At 39.2% G+C, this 27,510-nt stretch overlaps 1 protein-coding gene across 1 annotated transcript in view, besides 4 other annotated features; it reads left to right on the top strand.

The window, feature by feature from the left end:
• The window catches only part of SH3RF1 (SH3 domain containing ring finger 1), a 176,698-nt gene that overhangs the window by 11,963 nt on the left and 137,225 nt on the right, over positions 1-27,510 (top strand). The gene's annotated exons all lie outside the window — the stretch shown is intronic.
• Positions 6,625-7,824: an enhancer, noted in NCBI's record as "P300/CBP strongly-dependent group 1 enhancer chr4:170172321-170173520 (GRCh37/hg19 assembly coordinates)". NCBI's record gives its function as "activates an origin of replication core promoter dependent on BRD2, BRD4, P300/CBP, MED14 and CDK7 cofactors, with strong dependence on P300/CBP, by STARR-seq in HCT116 cells {active_cell/tissue: HCT116}" and the evidence as "EXISTENCE:reporter gene assay evidence [ECO:0000049][PMID:35650434]".
• Positions 9,182-9,476: a silencer, noted in NCBI's record as "tiled region #2565; K562 Repressive non-DNase unmatched - State 24:Quies". NCBI's record gives its function as "represses a minimal TATA promoter and a strong SV40 promoter by Sharpr-MPRA in K562 cells {active_cell/tissue: K562}" and the evidence as "EXISTENCE:reporter gene assay evidence [ECO:0000049][PMID:27701403]".
• Positions 17,380-17,880: an enhancer, noted in NCBI's record as "H3K4me1 hESC enhancer chr4:170162265-170162765 (GRCh37/hg19 assembly coordinates)". NCBI's record gives its function as "activates a minimal SCP1, AML or CMV promoter by ChIP-STARR-seq in primed H9 embryonic stem cells {active_cell/tissue: H9 hESC(primed)}" and the evidence as "EXISTENCE:reporter gene assay evidence [ECO:0000049][PMID:30033119]".
• Positions 17,881-18,381: an enhancer, noted in NCBI's record as "H3K4me1 hESC enhancer chr4:170161764-170162264 (GRCh37/hg19 assembly coordinates)". NCBI's record gives its function as "activates a minimal SCP1, AML or CMV promoter by ChIP-STARR-seq in primed H9 embryonic stem cells {active_cell/tissue: H9 hESC(primed)}" and the evidence as "EXISTENCE:reporter gene assay evidence [ECO:0000049][PMID:30033119]".

The raw sequence follows: 27,510 nt of genomic DNA, 5'->3' as shown, positions 1-27,510 counted from the left end.
AGCAATGTAAGTAAGAGTGTCAGTGTGGGATACAAATATCCCTAGCATTTGTATAAAGTTCCTGGAAATGTGAGCAGTAATGTTGAAAAGCTGAACATTAGATATGTTATAAGGAGATTCAATTCTTGTAGAGCTAAAAAATATTCTTACATTCCTAATTATATAACTGCTTAGTTTTTAAATATCCTTAAAAAACTTTAAAAGTTTTTAAAAACAAACACATAGAATAAACATTATATAATAAAACTAGATTTCAGACCTTAAGTTTTCATTTGCCCACCTTATCCAGAGTGACATTTAGTTTACTAATCTCTATTATTTCAGTTTTTTTCAAAATCTTTGAACAGTTTTTTCCCCATTATTGAACTTGTGTTTTATGCACAGTGATGATTATTTTTCAGCATTTCATATGCTTTTTTTCTGCCACAGTTGAAGTCTGAGGCTAAATATTTTTGCCATCTTTGGTAGATCGTATTATTTTCATTCCTGTCTTAACTGTACTATAGTAGCACTTTTATTTTTCTTTTTTCTACTCATTTTTGTAAAACAAGTCTGAAATATTAAGAAGACACTGGAAGTGTTAACACTGTTGTACAAAGCCTGTGATGTTGCTGAAGCTGAAGTGTTGGTTAAAGGCCCCAAAGTGTGACAGCTTGAAATGTTTACATAGCAGCTGTTCCAAGAAAGTTCAAATCTGGCAGCAGAAAAGTACTGGGTCTCCATATATGAAGCATGAAAATATATGATGTGTGGAAGCTGAGAATCACCTATATGGTGGAAAGAATGAGGAGACCTGCTTTCTAGTCCTGGCTATGTGATTTGAGGCCAGTGTTTTCTCTTCTGTAGGACATAGTTTTCTCTTTTATAAAATGAGGCTTTTCTGATATCTGAGTTCTTTTGTAGCCCTGAAATTTAAAAAGTAATTACCGTAGCAAAAGCCAACTTTGATATCAAACATTTAGGACAAACTCAGATTGGCACCTGGATATGATCTTGGTGCATTGAGGTGACATGTGGCTCTCACATTTGCCCATTGACACCAGTAATCTGCCTTTAATGTTCCCTTAGAAGCCCACACTGTGCCTGCCACAGGAGCCTTCAGATGAACTGTTAGATTTAGAAGTGAGGTAGAGCAGAAAAGCAAGGACAGTTTAGGGAGCCTGACTTTGGATTAAGCTCTAAATAGGGCTGGTTTGCTTGCTAGATCTCATCTGCTAGAATTATCCACCTCTGTTCTGCCAGATTATTATCTTCATCTAAAGTTGTTACACTGCTTGAAATTCCAACAATTAGAGATTGTCTGCATATTAAAATGTCCTGCACTTTAGAACCATATTTAGAATTACCTAACCATATTTCTTTTCTCAGTTTTTACTGATGTGAGAACCCCTACTTTGATGGACAGGGCATTTATTATGCTGAAAGAGCGGGGAGGCAGGTAACTGAGCTGCTTTGAGGTCAGGCAAGCCTGGATGGGGGAAGCTGTAGTGAGGGGTTTAGACAGAGCGACCATGTCGTTTATCCTCTACCCTGGGACATTTTTGAGAGTGAAAAGGATGTTGTTGATAATTTTGCAGAGTCAACAGGAGTAAGTCAGGACTGTCTGAGGCGAACAGGGCCATAAGTTTACCCTAGCTGAGAGCAGTGTGAATGAGCACAGGATATAGAAAACAGGATTCATTAAGCATAGGGGAGATGCCAGAGAGTACAGAACTTTTCAAAAGTGTTCAGGGGAAATGCAGAGGAATTAATTTCTTCCTCTGAATGTTCCTTTTTTGTGTGCTCTGTGATTCCTGCTGGACAGAAAGTGTCTGGTAATAGGAAAAGCAGGAGATTTATTATCAGGCAGAACTTCCTCTGTTCCTTGTTATCTGTGTGGCTCTTGGGCAAGTTACTTCCTTACCTAATTTCTTCATTTGTAGAATGATGAAGAGCTGCTTTCCAAGTTTGTGAGGATTACATGAGATAAGGAATCTCAAATGCCCAAGACCTAGTACATGCTCAGTAAACATTAGTATCTTCAGTTTTCCCTCTTTCTAGAAATTAGAACTTTTAATACCATATCACAGTTATATTGTAAAATAAACTCTGGGGCAAGTGGATTGGCTCACATCTGTAATCCCAGTGCTTTGGGAGGCCAAGGTGGGAGGATCAGTTGTGGCCAGGAGTTTGAGACCAGCCTGAGCAACATAGTCGGATCCCCATCCCCCTTCTAAATTTTTTTTTTAAATTAGCTGGGCATGGTGGCATGCACCTGTAGTCCGAGCTCCTCAGGAGGCTGAGGCTGGAGGATCGCTTGAGCCCAGGAGTTTGAGGCTGCAGTGAGCTGTGATCTTGTCACTGCACTCCAGCCTGGGTGACAGAATGAGACCTTGTCTCTAAAAGAAAGAAGGAAAGAAACAAACAAAACAGACTATTGGTGTGTATGTAGTCTGGTAATTTAATTAATTAACACTTATATGTTAATACCATAGAACATTTCGTTCTGTTTTAAACAGCTGGCTTAAACTTCAGATACCCAAGCTGTTCATAAATTAGTGACTACATAAGATAGTTCTGGTTTTACGACTATAGTGTGACACTGGTTGAGTCAGTCAGCTTCTCTGGGCCTCATCTGTAAAAGGAAATGGAGAGCAACATTATCTATACTCCCTCCCTCCCTCTATTTCTCCCTCCCTTCCTTCCTCCTTCCCTTCCTCCCTTTCTTCCTCCCTTCTCCCTTTCTCTCTCCCTCCCTGCCTCCCTCCCTTTCTTCCTTCTCTGCCTCCTTCCCTGTGATTGGGGAAAATAATAGCTCAAGTAATTTTAAAAAAATTCAATTTAGTTATTTCTTTAGCATATTACTAAAGACTTAGACTCCTAAGACTTTCCGTAAGGGAAACTAGATGTGCTTTGTAGTGCAGTCCTAATTTTTAAAATTTAAGGAGCCCAGGCATGGTGGCTCACGCCTATAGTCTCAGAACTTTGGATGGCTCAGGCGGAAGGATTGCTTGAGCCCAGGAATTTGAGACCAGCCTGGGCAACATAGCAAAACCTCATCTTTACCAAAAACAAAAAAATTAGCTTGGCATGGTGGCTCGTGCCTGCTCTCTCAGCAACTTCAGAAGCTGAGGGGGGAGGAACGCTTGAATCCAGGAGGTCGAGGCTGCAGTGAGCCATGATCACGCCACTGCACTCTAGCCTGGGCAACAGAACGAGACTCTTGACTCAAAAAGAAAAAAAAAAAGTAATGTTAGGAAAGATTATTATGCCCATTGTTAAAACATGGATGTTTTAATGCACTGTTGGATAGATGGATGGATGGGTGGGTCAGTTGATCTATCTGGACTCTGTGTGTGTGTGTGTGTGTGTGTGTGTGTGTGTGTGTGTGTATGTGTGTATGTATGTGTGTATGTATCCATGCATATGCACATGTGTGTAGTGTTTTATTCCTTTGTGACTGATTTTTGCTTACCCTTCCCCAACCTTGCCCACCCTTCCCCTCACTTCCATACCATTAAGATTATGTGGCTTAAGTAGTTATTACTGGTCAGTTTTTCCATGTTTTGGTTATTTTTTAATAGCTCATATCTAGAGCAGCTGATTTCCCTTTTAAAAAAATTGTGACATATATAAACAGATATAAACAAATGCATTTATGTACTTTACTGATGCATTTTGCAAATGCTGCAACAGTGAAGAGCCTTGCTATGCTTCAAATTTCAATAAATTTATATATTTTTTAATGGAGTTTCTATTTATAGTTAAAATATTCACGTACTGATTTTGTAGCTAAAATATTCATGTACTGTTTTGGGTAAGAAACGACACTGGGTGAACATTTTTTGAAAATGGTCATCTACTGGGTTTTTAGAAAGTCTCTTCTAAAGGACATTTCAAAAGCTTGTTGATACAAACTTATTCCAGTGCCTTACCATCTTCCTAGCCAGAGGAGGTTCTTTTTTCTGTTAAACATAAATTCCTGTCCTTGCAATGTACTCTCATTCCTTTCATCCCATCCTTAATGGAAAAGAGGTGCTCCCCTGTACCTCTTCTTCCTGACCTTGCAGGCTGTGGTGCAGCCCTGACCTCCTCTCTTTTTATCTGGACTGAATAACTGAGTTTCGTTTACATGTCCTCATAGGACCCATTTCCTAACATTTTAATCATTTTAGTCACTCTCCTTTGGACGCTATCCAACCCCTGCTTGCTGTGCTTGGGTTCAGGTCCAGAAGAGCTCTTAGTGTGGTGATAAAGTTCTGAATGGGGCTTCAAGTTGTGGAAGGGCTGTCATGGGACCCTCCTGCTCCTTGTTTTTACATCCTCATGTTATGTACCTTTAAAAATAACTCACTACGTTGCTGGTTCATGCTTTGCCTAGATCTCAGATTTTCTCTTTTCCTTAGATAAATTCAGTTTCCCCCATCTCTCGAGTGGTTAGTTTTTACTACCCTCCGGATTAAACTTGTTTCTGTAATCTTTACGATAGTGTCAGCAATTGGCCACTATCAACAGGAATTGAAAAATGCCAATCCAAAATGCAATTGCTTTAATACATATTTGTGATCATATGGATACCTGATCTTAAACACATATATACCTTGTTTATTACATTTATTTTGAATATTCTCTGGCCCCATTTGGTATTGTTCTCTAATTAATTGTGCTTTAGTGTTGTCTCCTGTACCAAGTTATAAGGAACTTGAGATCAGGAGCTCTTTTGAATTTTATACCTCTTTTCTGCTCATGACTGTGGAAAAAGTAGTAGGTGGTCAGTTCAGTAAATACTTCTTGATGGAACTGATAGATGACTACTCACATTCCAGAATTCCAAGGTCCATCGGAACACATTCACATCCTTGTAAGTTGGAGTGTCTAACCACATGTATATTTTGGTAAGCTTATTCACATTCATCTTCCCACTATTTAAGTCAGCAATGACAGTAGTACTCAAAGGCTAGGTAAACCCTTATGAAACTTGACTGTAATTGGATATTGAATAACAATTCTCTTGAGAATGGCCCTTGAAACATTTTGGTTGCACCCACCATGGTGGTCTAGAAATCATGTTTTCCTAGTTTATTAGAAAGAATGTTCTGCTGAGTTGAGTCAAAAGCCTTATAAAAGTTAAAATATGTGATATGTTATCTCCTATCCCCCAGGCACATCATTCTGACATAGAGGAAAATGAAATTGATCTAATAGGAATTGGCTGTCCAACTGTCATGTTGATCTTTACCAAACACCTTATAATTTCTCTGCTTGCAAATCTTTTAGAATGCAAAATGTTACATGTATAATGGCTTCTTTTGATGCAGATCATCTGTATACTAAGTAATTCCAGAGGTGGGTAATCCTGTGGATGGTAGGAAGCACAGGTAATGTGGTTAGCAATAGCACCTCTACATTTTGAATCCTATGAGAGGCAACATGCACATTCAAAATTAAATTAAAATTATTGAGAATGGAGCGGAAAGAGGGAAGAAAAGGGCAGTTAGAATAAATTAGTCCCAAGGGATCCTTTCCAAGTCTCAAATCATAAGCCAGCCAGCTGTGATATGAAACATGACAAAAGCCCATGGGCTCTCTAGCTCAGAAAGCTGCAAGGCTGGATTCTCTGTGATTGTTAATGTATCAACAATTTAACTATATACATGGAAATACCTTGAGTTATTACTTCTCTCAGGAGACTAAGCTATCTGATACTTACAAATAAGTAACACTAGGTCTACCTAACATTTCCTTATGGATTAAGAAGAATGGCAGATTTTGAGAAGCAACATGCTAGGAAGGTTTGGTAACTTTAGAAATGTGCCACGCTGTGGTTTCTAGGTATGCTATGAATGAAGAGCTTTGTGTGTAAGAAGTGGGAATTCTATGTGAATATTTATTATGTAAATTCTCATGTGTTACTAGGTTTATTTAAGTTTCTTCTTTGCGATCCAAACTTTTCCTTGAGAGGCAAGTTTATTTTTCACATTAACCTGATATGTAAATTTCTCAGTCACCCCCACCTCCCACCCCTAGGGCTTTTTTCTCCATCCAGTTTCATGGTATCAGGTCAGTATTTGGGCAGAGGGTGTTTATCATTAACAACTAGCTAGAGTCATATTTTTGTTTAACTTCCCCTTTGCTATAATCCACCCATCCTGCCTGTTACTGTGGGTTGTTGCCAGTTTAGGATTTATTTAACATGCCTTATGTTCAGTGATATATGTTGAAATTTAGAATGTATGAAAAAAGAGCCTGTGTTTTGCTTATGAATACGTCAGTCCATCAGCACGTATTTATTCTCTGTCCCTGAACTGAAGGTCATCGTTTCTTGGCAGCATTACTAGACATACTGGGATATTAAGCCAAAAAAATAGAATAGGTTGGTTAAAGATAGATTGAGGCAAAAATTGATTCACAGTTTGATACTTAAAACCAACTTTCCTGGTCAGTTGACTATTATCTGGCAATCAGGCAGAGTTGCTAATTATTGGCACCCAGGTGCCAGATGGTAGGGAGTAATTAGATTACAACTATCTTATCTATCAGTAGCTTTAGAATGAGAATAGTAGCAATTTTCATAGCCCTTTTCAATGGTCATGAAAACATTTTAAAAGCTGATCCTATGGAATATTGTATATCTGACTCCAGAAAGTAAATTTTTGACACATTACCTTGGGGAAAAATATGTGACAAGATATTTTATAATCTTGAAAGAGAGAAGTAATATTTTAGCAACTCTGTGTCCTGTTTGTTGCATCTGGGTTAGCCATGAATGAATTCATTCTGTTCTCAAAGAACTTGTTTTGCATTGATATCACTGTTTGAAAAAGTAAGCTGTGATAGAATTCATAAGCTGGAAAACTCAACATGCTATAAAATGTGAAAACGCAGGCCCTCTTAAGTGCAACCTGAAACAAGAGTGAATTGCCTTTACCTAGCACATCTCACGTGGTTCTTGAGTCGCTGCGGAACATACCAGAGTCCTCGCTCTTGTAGGCACACCACCTATCTTTTATAGGCTTCAACTGAAAAATACACTTAGTTGGCACAAACACATGTATGATCAAAGGTGATCTGAATAAAATATAGTTTTGATTGATGAATATGCAAGGCTTTTCTTTAATGTTTGAAGGAAGAATGATATCACAGTTTTGTTAATAAAATAGAGGTTAAAGAATGGAATTGTTTCTAGTAGGCTGCGCAGCCCTAAATCAGTCAAAAGTAATGAAGCAGTTTTCTGAAACAGATTGGGTTTCCTTACGAAGGAAGCCACCTTTGTTCCATGTCACTGATGCATTCCTTATAGGTGAGGTCACTCTGCATTGCTGATATCTTCCTCCTTTCATAAAAGGGAGATGGGGACCGCTCCCAGTGCATTCCATTTCTCACAATCCTTAAAATAAGGCTTAAATGTACCTGTCCATTAAAAGCTTTTGAAGGACGAAAGCCAACCTCAGAGGCTTTGTGAACCATGAATTGACAATGAAAGACAGTATGCTTCTGTTTTTCGGATAGCCTGTTTAAGGACAAAAGAACTATTCAGTCTTACATGACTTTCATTTAGTTATAATAAAAGGGATGAGGATGGTCATCTTGTTTTGTGCACGATTTTAAGGCTGCTTGACTGAGATTATCTGAAACAATACTCTTCAGTTATTCTGACTAACAAAGTCACTGAGAGGAATGTGTGTTACAGCGTGTATACATGACTTTACGTGTATTTGTTTAGATATAATGAAATTTAAAAAGTAGTTTCCTACCTTCCACCCTCCCTGTAAAACCTAAAGGGTGAAAGCATTTTGAGGATATCAGGTTAAGCTCTATGTATTGACATAGTCTCCTAACTAACCTTCTGTCCACTTGTGTCTCCCAGAGTAGCTCCCTTGAACCTCAGTTAGTGTGACATGTCACTCTTGCTCAAAACTATGTTATATAATGGTCCATTAGACTTCAGTCGCATAACTGAGTCCTGCCCTTTTCCTCCACCTTATCTCCTCAGCTTAAGTATTCTGCTCCAGCCATACAGACTTTCTTGCTGTTTATCAAACCACCAAAGCCTAGGGCCTTTGCACTTAGTCTTTGCCCTGCCTGGAAGGAAGGTCAGCTTTTACCCAGGTCTCAACATGGCTTGCTCCTTTCCTTCAGTTTGGTCTCTTTTCAAATGTCTCTTCCTTATAAGGGTCTTCTGTGACCACCATATCCAAAAAAGCCCCACCCCTCACTCTACTGCCAATCTTCTAGCCTTGCACTGCTTTGTTTTTCTTCATGGCACTTATGTCTGTCTAAAATCACATTATACATTTATTTGTTTAATCCCTCCTACCCCCATCCCCACTACCCCACAATAGGCAGTAGGCTCCATGAGAACCAGGACTTTGATTAAATTTATTCCTGTCTGTATCCCCAGCAGGTAGAACACTGCCTAGTACATAGTAGGTTCTCAATAAGAATTTGTTAACAAATAAATCAGTGAATGGTTATACTTGATGTATGTTGATGTTACTGAGCACACCTCATGTTGAAAAATATTGCAAATAGGAGAATGACTGTTATTCATTCAGATGTTTAAATTGAAACAGTTTTAATAGATGAGTAAATTAAAGTGTCATATATGCTTATTTGGCAATTCACTTTGTATTGTTTTATGAAGATAAATGTGGAATGATTTAAAAAATAATCTTGCCGCAAGCTTTTTTTTTTTTAAACCCAAGAGATGAGCAGTATGATTCCAAACCATAGCAGCATCTCTGTTTTTAGCTCCCAGAAATGAATACAAATCCTTTATAACTGACAGCATTGGTGTACTTCAGTGTTCATACTTTTAAAGCTACCCAGAACACCAGAAAATGAGAGCATGGAAAGGAATGCTTTTTTATGCATTTCTGCAAATTTCTATGCTTAACATATTCTTAGGAAGAGAAGTGACATTGTTTTTTGTACCTAAAACTGTTTAAGGAGTGGGTGGAAACACCTATTAATCTTGGCTGTGTCGTGACTTGAGCATATTTCCTCATTTGATATAGTGTGGATTCAAATCAGACTTCAGATAATCGTTTTTTTTTCCTTTGCAAAATAATACAACCATATTGTGGGCCGATTCTGTTGAGTGTCTGGAGCCTGATGATTAATGTCAGAGATGAATTTCCTTTTTCTAATATAATCATTGCTGTATGGGTTATATGTACAACTCATTGAAATCTCTCTTTATAAGTCACTCATAAACATGACTGCAGTCATATGCCTCACAGTTACTGTACTTTAATCTGCACTTGCTTCCTCCTACGTATTTACTTAAAGAGTCACAGCTTGCTGGAAATGTATCCTTCCTACTGTTGCTCTGTGTGTCTCCAACGGGGGGATTGGATCCTTGTATGTTTTTTTAACCAGCAGATAATTGTGTGCTTTAACATGCATTGGTACATAATCTGCTTTCCACATAGAATTAGAGAATACCCTTATATCTCCAGTGGAGTGTCTTAGTCCATTTCTGCTGCTGTAACTAGAGACTGGGAAATTTGTAAAAACAAATATACCCCAAATTTATTTCTCACAGTTCTAGAGACTGGGAAGTCCAAGATCAAGGTGCTGGTAGGTTCAGTTATCTGGTGAGGGCAACTCTCTGCCTCCAAGATGGTTCCTCTGGAGGGGAGGAACACTGTGTCCTCACATGGCCCTCTATGGGCAAGCTAGCCTAATGGTGGGTGAAGCCTCTTTTATAAGGGGCTTTATCACATTCACATGGGAGGAGCCCTCATGGCCTAATTGCCTCTTTTTTTTTCTTTTTTCTTTTTTTGAGACGGAGTCTCGCTCTGTTGCCCAGGCTGGAGTGCAGTGGGACGATCTCGGCTCACTGCAAGCTCCGCCTCCCGGGTTCACGCCATTCTCCTGCCTGAGCCTCCTGAGTAGCTGGGACTACAGGCGCCCACCACCATGCCTGGCTAATTTTTTTGTATTTTTAGTAGAGATGGGGTTTCACCGAGTTAGCCAGAATGGTCTCGATCTCCTGACCTCGTGATCTGCCCACCTCGGCCTCCCAAAGTGCTGGGATTATAGGCGTGAGCCACTGGGCCCGTCCCTAATTGCCTCTTAAAGGCCCTACTTCTTAATACCATCACATTGGCAACACCTGAGTTTTGGAGCGGAGCCATTCAAACCATAGCACAGGAATCACCAAAAACAATGTTGAGTAGTTCTATGAGGTCACTGAAAGTAAGCAGTGCACTTCAATCTGGAGTAGCCTTTGTTGTCTGTGTCTGAATAGTCACAAACACCCACCAGGTGAACAGCTCCAAGTTCCAGATTGGGAAACTGGACTGCTCACGTGGATGTTTCCCCTTTTCCTATTACTTTTTTTGAATTTTTTAAAATTTTACTTGAAGTTCTGGGATACATGTACAGAATGTGCAGGTTTGTTACATAGATATACATGTGCCATGGTGGTTTGCTACACCCATCAACCCATCATCTAGATTTTAAGCCTGGCGTGCATTAGGTATTTGTCCTAATGTTCTCCCTTTCCTTGCCTCCCACCCCACAACAGGCCCTGGTGTGTGATGTTCCCCTCCCTGTATCCATGTGTTTTCATTATTCGACTCCCACTTATGAGTGAGAACATGCAGTGTTTGGTTTTCTGTTCCTGTGTTAGTTTGCTGAGAATGATGGTTTCAGCTTCATCCATGTCCCTGCAAAGGACATGAACTCATTCTTTTTTATGGCTGCATGGTATTCCATGATGCATATGTGCCACATTTTCTTTATGCGGTCTATCATTAATGGGCATTTGGGTTGGTTCCAAGTCTTTGCTATTGTAGATAGTGCTGCAGTAAACATACGTGTGCATGTGTCTTTATAGTAGAATGATTTATAATCCTTTGGGTATATATCCACCAATGGGATTGCTGGATCAAATAGTATTTCTGGCTCTAGATCCTTGAGGAAGTGCCACACTGTTTTCCACAATGGTGGAACTAATTTACAGTCCCACCAACAGTGTAAAAGCATTTCTGTTTCTCCACATCCTCGCCAGCATCTGTGGTTTCCAGACTTTTTAATGATCGCCATTCTAACTGGAGTGGCGTATCTCATTGTGGCTTTGATTTGCATTTCTCTAATGATCAGTGATGATGTGCTTTTTTTCATGTTTGTTGGCTGCATAAATGTCTTCTTTTGAGCAGTGTCTGTTCATGTCCTTCATCCACTTTTTGATGGGGTCGTTTTTTTCTTGTAAATTTGTTTAAGTTCCTTGTAGATTCTGGATATTAGCCCTTTTCCTATTTCTATTCCCATTGTTAGCTCCACAGTTTCTGTCGTGTGCAGGAATGTCATGATGCCTCCTCAGACTCAGATCGCAAGATCCACAACCCCTTTATTGTCTTCAGAACAGTAATCCTATTCTCTCTGGCCCATATAGTTGTACTCCTATCCCCCACCCTATATGTGTTATTACCATTTATCAAGCGATGCTACTTTGTTCACCTATCTAGATTCCAGACTCTCAGACACAGATCATGGTAGTCTGGAGTCTGCATCTTCTCCAGGCTCTAGCTCACACCTTCATACGTGCCTCGTGTTACCAGGCCTGCCTGCAGCTCTGTGGCTTCCTTCACTTATCACATGTTCATCACTCTCCCCTGGACCAGGTTCATAGCTCTAATGTTGCTGTGGATGCCGTCCACCATTCACTCTCTCAGTAAATATTTATTTGGGGGAAGATCCCTCAGCGAGTGTGTCTGCCTCTCCTGTTTACCACTGCAATCTCTGTCTAAACCTATCAAGCTCACTTTTGCTCTTTTCCCCACCTCTTCCCTTTTGGTTTGCCTCTTCTTGACCCTCTCCACTGTCCTCTTCTGGCCCCATCTCCAGTTTCAGTGTCTGAACCTTTGTCCTCAGTCATTATGCTTTTCCCAGTGAGCACATCATGTCTTACTCTGCTAAATAGCCCCTTGAAGTCCTCTTTTAATGCCTTAACTGCTTTTGATTTATGGTAGAACAATCAGTGGAGAGTAAAGCACATGGTAAAAGGTAGCTTTAATAGTGTACATTTCTAATTTTCCTGCAGAATGGAACTTTATTGCTTCCCCCTTCCTCTTTTAGATGAAGAGCTATGAGATTATTCAAGTTTTTCTTTCTACAGCAGTCTTGCAAGATTGTCATATTTACCAGGGAATTATTTTATAGATGAAAAAATTTGAATGGGATTTTAGTTTCAGAATGAAATAATTGCTAGTTAAATGACTTACATTAGTGGATCAGACCCAGTTAATGTAAGTTTGTGTCTTTCTTAAAATAAAAGTTGAAAAATTAAATTTGCTCCTTGGTAATTTGATTTGTAGGAAGTGGGGAACAAAGGATTCCAAACAGGTCTTTTAAAATCAGTTCTAATTAATTGCATGTGCAGATGCATCAGCTAAGATTGGGAGGCAATTAGTCTAATTATGTTTAAAATACAGTTGCATGCTTAAATAGACAGTCACACCCTCAGGCCTGCCTATCTTTTTCTACTTTCTCCTTTAGGCACGTAGTGAATTTTTTGGCCATTAAGCATGACCTCTTCAGTGTCTGTGGAGCAGAACAAAGTGACAGAATACAGATGAGCGGGGTTGCACATACTCCTAGCTCAGTTTGATACTTCAGTGATAATATCTATATAGCACACCGAGGTGGAAATATTAAAATATGCTGGGGAAAATTTGTGTTCTCTAGTTAACTCCCCCTTTTTTGGGTAATCTTATTTTTGGAAATCTGAGCTCTCTTTATGAAATACGTGTCTCATGCTTCAATTTGGAATAAACTGTAGCTGAGTCTTATTTCAAATATTCTGAAATAATTTGATTTCAAAGTAAAACTTGACGAAGTAACACCTTGCATAGTAATATACAATTTGCATGAATGACTTTGCCAACTTCAGACACATGGTTCAGAGGGGCCAGTGAAAGTATCATCTGGGCTTCTGTAGTAGTTTTATACCCATCACATCTTCAATTGCTCTGACTTAAAGTGGATATGACACCCCTGGCAGACTGTGTTTTCCTGTTTGACTTAAGCAATTGATATTTGAACAGGTGAATGAGCATAGATGTTTATGATTGTCTTGCCTGCCTTTGATTAAAAACTAATGTGACCACTTTTCAGTACATTTGGTTTTATTGGAAGAATCTATTGAAGGTGGTCTTGTACGGATACTCCCCTGTTGCCCTTCCTTTGGTTTCTGGTAACATTAAAAATTACTTACAAATTACATTTCACTTTATAGAATATCCTGCAGTTACAAGGTTACAGTCTTTATTACTGACCTACCACCGCCATACGGATTTTTCTATCAGCTGAACTTGCTGTATTTCTGGCCATATTATTTGTAGCAGAAACTGAGGTTTACTATCATTGCTATATTTATAGGTGGATTATCCGGTTTTCTCCAAGTAGGCAAGAATGGGATCTTGAGGACAGTTAGTTGATGATGTTAGACCAATTGGAGCTTTGTTTTCTGGACTGTTTTTGCTACCCCTGGTATAAGGACATAAGCTTATGTCATCTGTGTGCTATCAAAATATAGTAGATTTTAGTGGACTATATAGATAAATTTAGATGGATAATTGAAACATGGACATTTAAATATGTAGACTATTGGTCAACATGGCTTTTGTTGTGACTTGAGTATACACAATCATTACTCAAAATTTCACGTTTTCTCCATAGATATAGGCTTAAATCTAAGTAGGTTTGCTCAGAAGAGGAAGTTCCATTTTATTTTCTTCTTTGAGGTTACTCAACATCCATCCAGTTCTGACTTCACAGTTAGTAGTTGGTAGCGTTAAAGTTGTATTTAATAAGTTGATTGTTACTTTGTTCTTTGAAACAAGTTACTCTTCTTATTGTGGTAAATATAAACAACTTCTTTCAAAATCTAGACCAATTTAGGATTTTGGTTTATAATGTAGCATGATAGATATATTATTTTAGCAGATGTTTGATGCCAGTCCTACTATCATTAAGATGGAATATCCGCTTACAGAATACGAGTATATGTACTGTAGTATATTTACTTCTGTATGTCAGGTGATCTGTATAAATAAGCAACTTTTATTTTGCAAAACCTTTTCTAAAAACTGGACTTGTATTTTTGGTTTGTTAACTTTTACCTTTTTTCACACAGTCTTATATACCACTTTTAAATTAATACAATGTTAAATAATAGTACAATCTAAAGATTAATCAACAGGTTATAACAACGGCAAAAAACACTAATAAAGTTTAGAAAAGTGCAGCACTGTGGCGTTGTCATTGTGTTTTGGTAACACATGCGCAATTTAAAAAAATTCTGTCATGTGTTACTTTGTAAAATGTCCTTTACATATCAGTTTAGGTTAACTCTTTCTACCTACATTTTGGTTAGTCAGGATGTTGGATCTTGTGTGTCTTTCTCTGCCAAGCAGTGCTGGTTATAGTTAGATGAATTTAAATTATTAACTTACGTTGTAGGAGAATTTAGATTGATTGACATTCTGCCATTGACGGTGTAGTGTGTTCTTGAGTCCACAAAAAAGAAGTATTGTGAAACTCTAGAATTGGGTAGAAAGAGATCATCTGTGCAGTGGCTTAAAAAAAAAATACTGGGAAGAGCTTTTACAAAAGCAGCAGGAAGTACTTACTGAATCAGCACTGGTCCATTGTGTGGAGGGGTTTGCAGATTTTTAATTAAGCTGCTGAATACTTACAGTCCTCAATTCACATGGAAAAATTTAAAAATGGTGGTGGGTGCATGCACATTTGTGTGTTTGTGCAGGGCAGCCAAATATGATTTGCTGGGTAGTGAAAATTAGAAATAACATGTATGAGAACAGCAAGACAGATTGAAATAAATGTCTTAAAACATATTAGAACAGCAACCCAAAACTCACTCCATGTAATTTTGAGATCAGACAAAGGGATGGCCAGAGCATAATAGGAGCATGTAGAAGCCTGTTGCTAAATCAGAAATGAACAGGAATGCAGTTCAAAACCTCATTTACTACTCTTTAGTCTGTTGCCCTAGAGACAGACTTCACATATTGACTTTGGCAACTCCAGGGTAGCTTGCCATGTTTGCAGTTATTTAAGTAAAAGTATCTGAATTTGTAACTTAAAAATACAAGTTTACTGTAGTCAGTGCAACAAATTACATTTGTAGTCAGGAGGGAATTTCTAGACATTCTAAGTCATCTTTTGGAAAATCATGAAATAGAAGAAATAAATAATTCTGATTCTAAAAAGTTCAAATAGGGAAACAGTAAATGAAAGCAAGACTTCTTGAATATCCAGTGCAAGAATCTGTTGAGGACAGATTTAAATTTCAGGCATTACCTCACCTTGTGGCATGAATGAAATAACTGGAGAATATAGATAACAAAACTAATAGGGGAGTGCTTAAAATACTGTTTGAAGATTAAACTGAGGGAATTAGCCTAGCATAATCAAGATTCTATCCAGTTCTAATTTTATTATTTATTATTTATTTATCTATTTATTTATTGAGAAGGAATCTTGTTCTGTCGCCTAGGCTGGAGTGCAGTGGCACGATCTTGGCTCACTGCAACCTCTGCCTGCTGGGTTCAAGCAATTCTTCTGCCTCAGCATCCTGAGTAGCTGGGATTACAGGCATGCGCTGTAATGCCTAGCTAATTTTTGTATTTTTAGTAGAGACGAGGTTTCTCCATGTTGGCCAGGCTGGTCTCGAACTCCTGACCTCAGGTGGTCCGCCTGCTTCGACCTCCCAAAGTTCAGTTCTAATTTTAAATTATACCTTAGAGCAAGTGAGCTTTTCAGTTTTCCCTTATTCTTATATGCCTTGCCTTTTGGTATTTTTATTGTGTAGTTGTAATGAGAATAACATTTCAAAGGTTTTCTTTATTCTAGGCTAATGAGAGATTGTTTAAAAACTGTCTAATGAAATAAAAGTAGTATGGATTTGGGAGAAGGGGTTTGAAGACTGGACAGCTGTCTTGGAAATGAGTTCTTTTTCATGCAATGCTGTTTCTCAAAGTCTGGTCCAAGGACCACCTGCATTAGAAACACCTAGATGCCTGTTAAAAATGCACATACCTGGTGTCTTGGTCCATTTGTGCTGCTATAACAGGCTGGGTGATTTATAATGATAGAAATGTATTTGGCTCATGGTTCTGGAGGCTGGGAAGTCCAAGATTGAGGGGCCAGATCTGGCAAGGGCTTCCTTGCTGCATCATCACATGGCAGAAGGCATCATATAGCAAGAGAGCAGGCAGGAGATGGATGGCAATGGGGGCCAAACGCGCTTTTATAACAAACCCACTCCCTTCATAAAGGACAGTCCATTTATGAGGGCAGAGCCCCCATGACCTAAACATCTCCCATTGGGCCCATCTCCCATCACTGTTGCATTGGAGATTAAGTTTCCAATACATGAATTTTGGGTGACACATTCAAATGATAGTATCTGGGCCCCACCTCAGATCCACAGAATTTGATTTCCTGGAGCTGGGACCCAGAAATTTTCATTTCAAACAAGTTTCCCAGGAGATTTTTATGCACACTAATGTTTGAAGAAAAATACATCCAAAATGTAAGTGCAAATCTTAGCTATTAGGACATATGAATTTAATATTTCAAATCTCTTTTTCCACTGGGGATAATTTTAGAAGCGATATTTCATTTTAAAAACATTGCTTGATAGGAAAAATTACAAAGATGTTAGAACATGGGTCGCTGCATAAGTGGTATTTTTGTGGGGAGAAAAGTTTTCAAGTGAAAGCAGTTTTATATTTGTGATTAAATTATACATCAGATCAATGATTGGAATGGGTTTAGGCAGAGTATTTCTCCTTTGGGGAAGAATGAAAGAATCATTTAGCATTATAATTTTCACTCCTCTACAAAAAAAAAAATTTAAATTGAAATAGAAAAATATTTGATTAAGAATTTATAGATCCCTCCTTTCCCACCAAAGGATCCTATTTATAGTATTCTTTGACATATAATCTTCATTGTTCATATATATAATCTTTTCAGATTTTGTTTAAAATCTGAATAAAACTCTCAAGTGACTTGAAATTTTATTTCACATTTTAAATCTAGTGTTTAATGCTGTGCTTTCTGCTGTTTAACTACGAGCAAGTCTGGTAACAGACTTAGGGCCTCCAGCCATAAGGGCCAGAGAAGAGGGAAATCTCAAGGTTGACTTTACCGAGCATCTGAGGGCCTCACAGGAGGAAACCAGTCCCCATTTCCCAAGAAGTGCAGTATCTCAGTAACCATGCTGCAAGGTCAAGTTCTGCCCACACAGTGTTTCAGCAGGATTTTGTTTCAGCCTGTGTTTTTTATTTTTCATTTTAGAAAGATAGCTACATTGTCCTTTTGGTGTAGAGGCATTTCTGGAGCAGCTGAACTTGGGCCCTACTCCAGGGCACACTGGCTTTCTCACTGTCTCCTCTGGTGGAGTTCAGGAGTGCTGATGTTAGCTATGGACTGCGCCAAAGCACATCCAGATGCTCTCAACCCCTAAGGCCTTTACTTCCTAAGGCCTTTACTTCCATGGATGATGGATTAAAATGCAAACAGAGCTCCTACAAAATTAGACCAGGTAATCCTATGCAGAATTGGGGGTGAAGTTCACTGCCTTTCGGCTGAAGGGTGAGTTTGCTGAAGAAAATCTATTCAAGTCGCTTCTGAATAGTATTTAGCATGTATTTCCAGTATTGATTTCAATGTGTAAACTTGGATACTTTTCACATGGACTTGGGCAGTTTTATTTTATTTGTTTGTTTATTTATTTATTTATTTTGAGACGGAGTCTCGCTCTGTCGCCCAGGCTGGAGTGCAGTGGCGCGATCTCGGCTCACTGCAATCTCCGCCTCCTGGGTTCACGCCATTCTCCTGTCTCAGCCTCCTGAGTAGCTGGGACTACAGGCGCCCGCCACCACGCTTGGCTAATTTTTTGTATTTTTAGTAGAGAAGGGGTTTCACTGTGTTAGCCACGATGGTCTTGATCTCCTGACCTCGTGATCCGCCCACCTCAGCCTCCCAAAGTGCTGGGATTACAGACGTGAGCCACCACGCCCGGCCTGGGCAGTTTTAAAAAGGAAAGCTTCACTTCACTTAAAAGGCTTCCTTGCAATGAGGGGGATGCTTGGGTGATAATTAGTTTGGTCTGGTGAATACATGGATCATCTTACTGAGGGGCTTATGTACAAGCGGTATAAGTATGGTAATGAATAAAACAGGCAAGTGCAGCATGGTGACTGTGGTTAGTAATAATGTGTTATGGACTTGAAAACTGCTAGGCCAGTAGATTTCAAATATTCTCACAAGAAATGACAGGTGTGTGAGGTGATGAATATGTTAATGAACTTGATATAATTTCACAATGTATACATATTAAAAATGCTGTACACTGCAAATAGATACAATTTATTTATTTGTTAAAGAAGAAAACTCAAAAACTCCTTAATACACGTTGGTATCTTTAAATTGAACAGTTTCTCAAACTGCTTTCTTAAATAATTAAGTGAAGGGGGCCAGATGCAAGGGCTCACGCTCTGTAATCCCAGAGCTTTGGGAGGCTGAGGTAGGTCGATTGCTTGAGCCCAGGAGTTTGAGACCAGCCTGGGCAATGTGGTGAAATCCCATCTCTGCAAAAAATTAAAAAAATCAGGCGGGCATGGTGGTTTGTGCCTGTGGTCCCAGCTACCTCAGGAGGCTGAGGTGGGAGAACTGTTTGAGCCCAGGAGGTTGAGGCTCAGTGAGCTGAGATTGCACCACTGCACTCCAGCCTGCGTGCCAGAGTGAGACCCTGTCTCAAAAAAAAAGAAAAAAAAATTAAGTAAAACTGAATTTATTATAATACCCCTTGAGAAGTTTTAATTGACTTTTGAAAAGTTGATTATTTTAAGAAATACCTTGGTGACTTTACTCTTAGATGTTCCAGTGTGCAGTTGGAGTGTTTGTGCTTTGTAATTCTCACTGTAGATGTGAATTACTTTTGTTTTTTTTGAGGCAGTCTCACTCTGTTGCCCAGGCTGGAGTAAAGTGGCGTGATCTTGGCTCACTGCAGCCTCTGACTTCTGAGTTCAAGAGATTCTCCTGCCTCAGCCTCCCAAGTAGCTGGGAGTATAAGTGCACACCACCACGCCCGGCTTATTTTTGTATTTTTTTCATTAGAGACGGGGTTTCACCATGTTGTCCAAGCTGGTCTTGAACTCCTGACCTCAGGTGATCCACCAGCCTCAGCCTCCCAAAATGCTGGGATTGCTGGAGTCAGCCACTGCACTCGGCCGATCTTAATTACTTTTAAAGAAATTTCTAATCTTGTGGTACATCTTGTGGTATGCCTTGCAGCTATTCTGAGTATCCTTTAATGTACTTGCTTTCATTAAGATGGAAATGTGTGAAAATAAGGTGGACTAACCATTGCTAAAGGTAGAATGGTTAAATTTTTGAAACCTTAACGTGATGCCTTTTTATTTCTTCAGAAGTTAACTTGGATGAAAGTTAACTTTGAACAGTTATTTTAATAAAAACATACATACATATGGACTGAATAACAGTGACTAGTTCCAAGGTCAGCCTTCACAGATGTCTTTTTTTGTTTTCTGAACAGCACTTGTGATTCAGAACTCACTTCATTAACCTCTCATTATTTCTCTGTATGCTTGGCTTTCTGAATATCAGCTTTTTTTTTTCCTGCGTGTCACTTGAACACTTGGCCTTCAGTGTTTCTTTCATGTTTTAATAGAGATATGCAATGGTTACAAAAATATTCCCCTTTTACAAAGTAGGTAGATTTATAACCAGTCTTGTCGGCACAATCTTGGCAGAAATGGCTATCCACATATTGTGAAAAGGCAAAATTTCCAAGTTGAGGAAGGAGGTAAATAAGAAGAAAGATTGGTGAAGAATGACTTAAATGAGCCAGATATGTCTAGTATATTCTAGTATATTTAAGAATTGACCCAGAACGGCACTGTGCAGTTAAGCCATCATTTTTGAGAGTGAATAGAGGACTGACATGGTATCTTGAGACTGAAAAAGGGCAAGGGGTGGGGGGGGGCGGAAATTAGCTTTGAAGTCATTTACCTGTCAGTTTTATGCCAGAAATACTTATATAGATAGTCTTCAAAGTCAACTAGAAAGAAAGAGGATGGGGAAGCTACAAATGCTTCTTTTGAAGTGATGGAAGACAGAGCTAAATATGAGGAGGAAGACAGTAATAATAAGAGAATTCTTTATAGCAATATATTAGGGCAGCTGAAATGTTTTCAGAGTGGAAGCAAACATGCCCTAAGCTGACAAACCTAGTATACTTTGTATTTAGCAGTTAGACCATGTGGAAGAACAAACCTTGACAGTTGGCTGGTATGTGCCAGATTCAAGGAGGCAATGACTCACTCCGTCAAAACAGCACAGAGCTGATTCTTGACCTTATTGCTGTCAACTTCAATTTTTGGAAAGTCACTTCAGCCTGATAGACAACAATTCATAATTCTCAGCCCTGCCTACCTCACAGGCATCTATCAGGACAAGATGTATAAGAATGTACTGGGTGTTTGGAACAGAGCATCCTGTAGATTCATGGTAATGGTAAATTAAGAGGGCAGCAGAGTGTCTGTGGCAGCTCAATATTCATTTTCCTGAAGGTGAAGATGGCTTGTGAGGCCACTGTATTTGGCCAGTGCTAGCGTTCCTCACATCCTTCCATGCCCATGACACCTGGTAGGTAGTTCCTTTCTCCCTGCTGTGCGGAGTATTAATAGTGCAGGTAGGTGTAGGTACACCCTAATTCTGACCAAGCTTGGATATGTTAAAGGAAAAATTATTCTGATGCTGGTTGAGATGGTAAGTAAAGCTTTATTGAAGACTATATTGCATTAGAGTATTACAGTAGGAGGCAGAGATAGGGCTCTATTCTGAATACAGCAAAGACAGCTGGAAATTTATAGCCAATGGGCAGAGTGTGAGGGGAGAGGAAAATTCACTAAGAGGGGAAAATTATTAAGAGGAGACATCAAGTGTAGGGGGATTCTTGCTAACCCGACCTAATAGGACTCTTGCTAAAGGCAGGCCAAGGACTTACAGATCAAAGGTGGGAGATGAGGAGCTATATATCAAGGGTGATCAGATTTCAAGGGTGTGGAGCGGGGGGGAAATCATAAATTGATTTAGCAGGATTCTTGCTAAAATTGGTCCTACAGGTCTTGAATAAGCTTATTTCTTATTTCTTATAAGACTGTAGGGTATACTCTTTTCAGTCTTATTACTAATTCTTTATCAGTAATATGTATTCATCTTTACTGTCTTGTGTCTTTTTGCTGATTCTTCTGGTCTTAAGGCACTCTCCTTAATAAGTTTTGAAATCTGTCCAGAACTCACTGCAGCCAAATTTCCTGGATTTGTTTACTGTACCTGTGATTCAGCTGGAGATATAATTCCCAAATTCATATTTTTAGCATGCTGGTGGTCAATGTAGGCAGCTACCTTATGGGTATGTATAACCATTTCCCCTCTTGAAATCAGCCTCTCTTTTTTAAAAAATTAAAAATAGAGATGGGGTTGGGCTGTATTGCCCAAGCTGGTCTTGAACTCCTGGCCTCAAGCCATCCTCCCACTTCCACCTCCCGAAGTGTTGTGATTACAGGCATGAGCCATCGTGTCCAGCCTGAAATCAGCTTTAATTGTCCCCCAGGTAAATAAACACCTGGTGAAAGTCACCTTTGGAAAATTAATGCTTTTGAAAATAATCCATGAGTCTAAGTATGACTTTCAAATCACCTTCACCGTGTGTCTGGGAACATTTCAGGTTGATTTCCTACATCACATCACTCCTCTTCTGCTTATTGTATTCCCACTTACTAGACGTCAGGTGTTGGTTTATTAGGAGACATTGCTGTGCATGTCACACAGCCAGTTGGCACCACATTTTTGGCTCCTTCTGTTGAATCTCTTTCTAGTTGGCTGGCAAGTTAAATCTGTTCATTGAGAAGGGAGCGTGTGCATATTTGTGCTTGTTTATGTATGTATTACTGGCAGGGGATGAGACAGAAGCAAAAGTTGGGTCAGTTAAATACAATCGTCTCTCTTCTACTTTGTAGTTTTTGGAGATATTTTTCCATGCCATTTTGTAACAGATGATATCCTGGGTTTTATTATTCAGTCTTTTGTGTCTGTCAGTGAATTATTTGTTAGCCTTTGAGCCTACATATGTAGCATTTTATTATGGGAATAATAATATAGAAGCAATGTATGTATTTACATATCCATGTCTCAGATTGTTAGAGACTGGTGACCAGAGTAATGATATCCATGAGTTAGCTTACATGAGAATTTCTGGGGACAGTAGTGGGTTCTTACTGTGTGCCAGGCAATGTTTTAGGTACTTTATGTATATTAACTTATTTAATTCTCATAGCAACACTACGAAGTAGTTGCTACTATTATCTCCATTTTCCAGGTGAGGAAGCAGACATAGAGAGGTTACATAACTTGTTTAAGGTCACACCAACTAATAAGTAACGATATTACTTAGTCTAAATTATGGAATAGTAAGAAACAACCCTGAAATTTGAGATGCTTAATACAGCAAAGGCTTATTTCTCACTCAAGGTATACGTTGTGTGGATTGGCAGAGGGACACCGCTCATTATAGTCATTAGAGTCACTCAGAGACCCAGCCGACAAAGGCTCCATCTCAGCACATGCTTCCAGGAAGGGAATTGGCAAGTCGAGTTCTGGCTTAAAGCTTCCATCTGGAAGTGACATGTTTTACTTCCCACATTTCATTGTCCAAAGTGAGTTACTAGGCCATGATTCCATTTCAAGGAGGTCGGAAAGGGCAGTCCTGCCATGTGTCTAGAGGGAGAGAAGAATCGTAATGTTTATGGTAGAGCCAGGACTGGGATCTGGGCAGTTGGGCTACAGATGCTGTGCCAGTGGCTAGAACTGTCAGAAAACACATGGCAAGGATCCTGAGGCAAATGTTGTCCAGAACAGTTTTGTCACTTAGGTTGCAGAGGAAATGTCACTGAAAGAAATTAAGTAGGCCAGGCACGGTGGCTCACGCCTATAATCCCAGCACTTTGGGAGGCTGAGGTGGGTGGATCACCTGAGGTCAGGAGTTTGACAGCAGCCTGGCCAACATGGTGAAACCCTGTCTCTTCTAAAAACACAAAAAGTAGCCAGTCCTGGTGGTGCACACCTGTAATCCCAGCTACTCAGGAGGCTGAGGCTTGAACTGGGGAGGCGGAGGTTGCAGTGAGCCAAGATTGCACCGTTGCACTCCAGCTTGGGCAACAAGAGCAAAACTATGTCTCAAAAAAAAAAGAAAAGAAGGAAATTAAGTAAAATCCCTTTATAATATATGCTCATTGCTGATGTAATGATTAATATGGCATATTATTATATGAGAAGCAATGTAGCATAACACGGAAGAATGTGGATTGAGTTATTGAGTTAGGCTGCTTGGGCTGAAATGCCAGCTCTGTCACAGATTGCCTGTGTGACCCTGGGCAAGTTACTTAACCGTTCTGTGCTTCAGTTGGCTCATATTTAAATGGAAATAATAATAGTACCTATCTTACAGAGTTATCATATCATGGAAGGGACTTAAAAATTGTGTGCATGTCACTATAAAACACTAATATAGTAAATGTTGAATGAGTATTAGCTATTTTTTATTATGAATTTTGTCATGCCAGAGAGTAAATGACATTGCTAAAAACTTAACCATAAACAAAATACTTTGATGACGAGTTTAGTCTGTAAGGATATCACTGTGTTGTTATGTAAGCTAGATGATACTTGGGTACTGTTTAGTGTTTAAAATTTCCATTTGTATTCATTCTTGTTTTGCACAGTAGGATTATAGGAATTCTATTTTAAGAATATCAACATACAGGAATTTGTTGGTTTAGTTATTCAATATATTTGTACCTAGCAAACCCAATATATCAAAATCTAGATGTGGGAAACTTAAATTAGAAGTTGATTTTAAAAAAACCCTCTAAAACAGTGATTCTCAATGGGGGTATGAGAGTGATCTTGCCTCTTAAGGGACATTTGGTAATGTCTGGTGACATTTTGTCATGGGGTGCAGGGGAGGGGGTTGCTACTGGCATCTCGTGGGTAGAAGCCAGAAATGCTGTGCGTCCTACCATGCACAGGACAGCCACGCTCCCCAACAAACAACTATCAGGCCCAAATGTCAGTAGTGCCAAGACTGAGAAACCCCGACTTAGAAATAGAAATCAATTTACCGTGAATTGTTTTTAGTAGAAAAGATCCCTTAGAGTACAAAAAAATACAGGTTGATGCTTGCAGTAAATATCATTGTAGTGATCTATTGGAAATGGTATGAGGGTGTTTCCAAACAATGCCAGGCAGTACTTTCTACCAAAGCTGTGCTGTGAGGTATAGCAAAGTCTATTAAATGGCAAGTCCAGTGTTAGAAGTTTGTTAATTAATTCTCACCCATGAAAGCAGCTATTAGGATATCATTGTTTAGATGTAAATGTTCTTCACCCAAACGAACTTCACCAAAATGTTCTTAAGTTGCTATGGCAGTATATTTGAGGAGTTATGTTTTAATTTGCTTCAGGGGAGAACTGGAAGACCATGGTATTTCGTCTGAGATCATATTCTAAATCAGGGTTTCCCAACCTCACACTCTTGACATTTTAGACTGAATAATTCTTTTTGGGGGGTGGGGAGGGTGTTTCTTTTGTGCATTCTAGGATACTTAACAGCATACCTGGTATCTACCCACTAGATGCCAGTGGTACATTCCTTCTGGACTCCCGATTAATTATCCCAAGTGGGACAATTTAAAAAAAAATTGACATTGTCACACGTTCCTGGCAGGTGGGGATGAGCAAAATTGCCCCCAGTGGAGATCCACTGTTCTAGAATAATTTGTATGAGGACACTGCTTTCTCAGGGGTGTTCCGGTGGTCTAAACAGAGACTGAGAGTTAACAGAGTGACATCAGAAAGGAAAAACAACAACAAAAAATCAGGAGTGCTTTTCAGCTGTGAATCAGAATGGCAGTTGGAGGGTATCTCAGAATACAGGATGGGGAAGCAGATGGTAACTAACAGGGACAGAAAATGGTTTATAGCTGCTCTGAGGCAGGGGCGGAAATAGAGAAATCGTGGGGGAAGGAAGACCCTCAGACTTACCTGAAAGCTAGATTTTCAATTACGTCTCTTAATGAAATGTCAGCTTGTAAGGGCAGAGCTGACAAGTATGAAAGAGTAATGGTTCTGTGAAATAATAGGGTAGAGGGAGGTGGTTTGCTGATTAAGTTGCTCATTACCTGGAGGCAATGAAGAAAATCAGTCAATGAATTATTGCAGTCAAATATAACTTCCATTTTTTCAGAAGCCAAACAACCAAAGCCATCTAAGACAACCACATTTGTTTTTTATGACTTACAATGACAATTCGTGTTTATCAATGAGTTAAATGAAGTAAAGTGTAATGCAATGAGTTAATAGATATAAAACACTTTGAAAAGTACCTGTCCTGTGATAAGCCTTCAATAAACATTAGTTATCAATAGCTGTTGAAATGATGACTATGAATAATCATACTCAATATAGTTTTAGTTTTAAATTATTTTATTCTAATTCTTTGAAATTTGGTAATTATTTTATGATATATATGCTACTGTACATGTTGACTTCCAGATAACCGGAATGTTAAATTAAGCAGAATATCCCATTTACCAACTGTTCTGAGTAAACCACGGTTTTTTTTTTTTTTTTTTTTTTTTTGAGATGGAGTCTTGCTCTGTTGCCCAGGCTGGAGTGCAGTGGCATGACCTTGGCTCACTGCAACCTCTGCCTCCTGGGTTCAAGTGATTCCCCTCCCTCAGCCCCCTGAGTAGCTGGAATTAGAGGTGCCTGCCACCACGCCTGGCTGATTTTTGTATTTTTAGTAGAGATGGGGTTTTGCCACGTTGGCCAGGCTGGTCTTGAACTCCTAACCTTAGGTGATCTGCCTGCCTCGGCCTCCCAAAGTTCTGGGATTACAGGTGTGAGCCACTGCGCTTGGCCCAGTTTACCATTAATATAATCTGCTGCATACGAAGGCTTGATATTTACAACCAGGCAGTTCACACTACCGATCAGTAGACTAGTAGATTATATGTTCAGAGTTTAGGGTTTAAACTGAAGTCTTGCTTATTTATTTGATGGGCATGAACCTTATTTCTGGCTTTGAAGTGTATCACTGAAGAGGGGTAAAAACATATCTAGTAGCAGCCATTTTTCAGGATTAAAGTACAGTTTATCAAAATTTACCCAATCAACTCCCATTTTATTTAGCTATGATAAATGTTCCATGCTCTTACAGCCAGAAAGTATCTGATTATTAACTCAAGTAAACTTGAATTCATTTGCTGCAGCCAAACTGCTGCTCTGGGATAGGATGTGACCAAAGTTTGTACTTTATTTTAACCTCTAGGGATTGGAGAGAAAGGACCAGTGGGATGATGAGAAGTCTTGGATTCTGGAGGCCATTTTAGCCATTTATTCATTATTATGTGACTTTGGGCAAGTCTTGTGATCTTTTTGAAGTTCCGTTTCATATCCATTACAAATGAATAACAGTTGTCACGCCACACAGAGTTATGGTAACAGTGAACTAATTTCGAAGACACTGTGAAAAACACAAAGCTCACTGACTTGGTCTACCTGTTTCTAGTTTCTGCTTCCTCCATTTCATTCTTCACATTGCTATGGCGGTCTTTCCCAAATGTGGATTTGAACATCATTCCCTTTTAAAATTCCTTAACAATAGTCCAAAAATTTTGGCACTGTCTCCAAGAGCCTGTTGGGTCTGATATCCTTTCTTGCCTCACAGGTGCTTACTAGCGCTCGTACTGGCCACACTGGCCATCCAGTGTTTAAAATGCTCTAAGCCAGTTCCTGTATGCCTGGCTTTGCAAACTCTCCTGTCCTGCAGTACCTGTCTACCTAACCAGAAACCTGGCCTGGTGCTCTCTCCCTTCAGTGGAGGCCGTAAGGTCTTCCTTTTTGCTAATACTATGTCTGGAATATGTCTCCATTAGAGGAAAAAATTTTAAACTGTTGAAATACTTTTCCCCTTCTTCTCCTTCTAGAATAACAGGTTTTTAAAGACAGGACCTGATACTTATATATCCTTGAATGTCTAATGTCAAACAGTACCTGACATGTAGTAGGTATTTGATGACTATTAAGTGAATGAGTCAGTAATTGAAAACAGATGGTTCACACAGAAGTAGAAAGAGGCGTTAGTTGTCCAGGTGATTTGGAAGGGAGCAGTAATGCATAGTGGGTGGTTATGTTGGATGGAGGAGTGAGTATTCTATAGCAGCTTTGAGCAAAAACTAATCTTAGTTATTTAGAATCTTGAGTGTAGGAGAAATTTATTTTCCTTTTTATTTATTTATTAAAAAAAAAAATTTTTTTTTTGAGACGGAGTCTCGCTGTGTCACCCAGACAGGAGAGCAGTGGTGCAATCTCGGCTCACTGCAACCTCTGCCTCCTGGATTCA

This window comes from Homo sapiens, chromosome 4 (assembly GCF_000001405.40).
Source record: "Homo sapiens chromosome 4, GRCh38.p14 Primary Assembly".
Taxonomy (NCBI): Eukaryota; Metazoa; Chordata; class Mammalia; order Primates; family Hominidae; genus Homo; species Homo sapiens.
The sequence above is the reverse complement of the archived record's forward strand: the minus strand, read 5'-3'. Positions and strand labels throughout refer to the sequence as shown.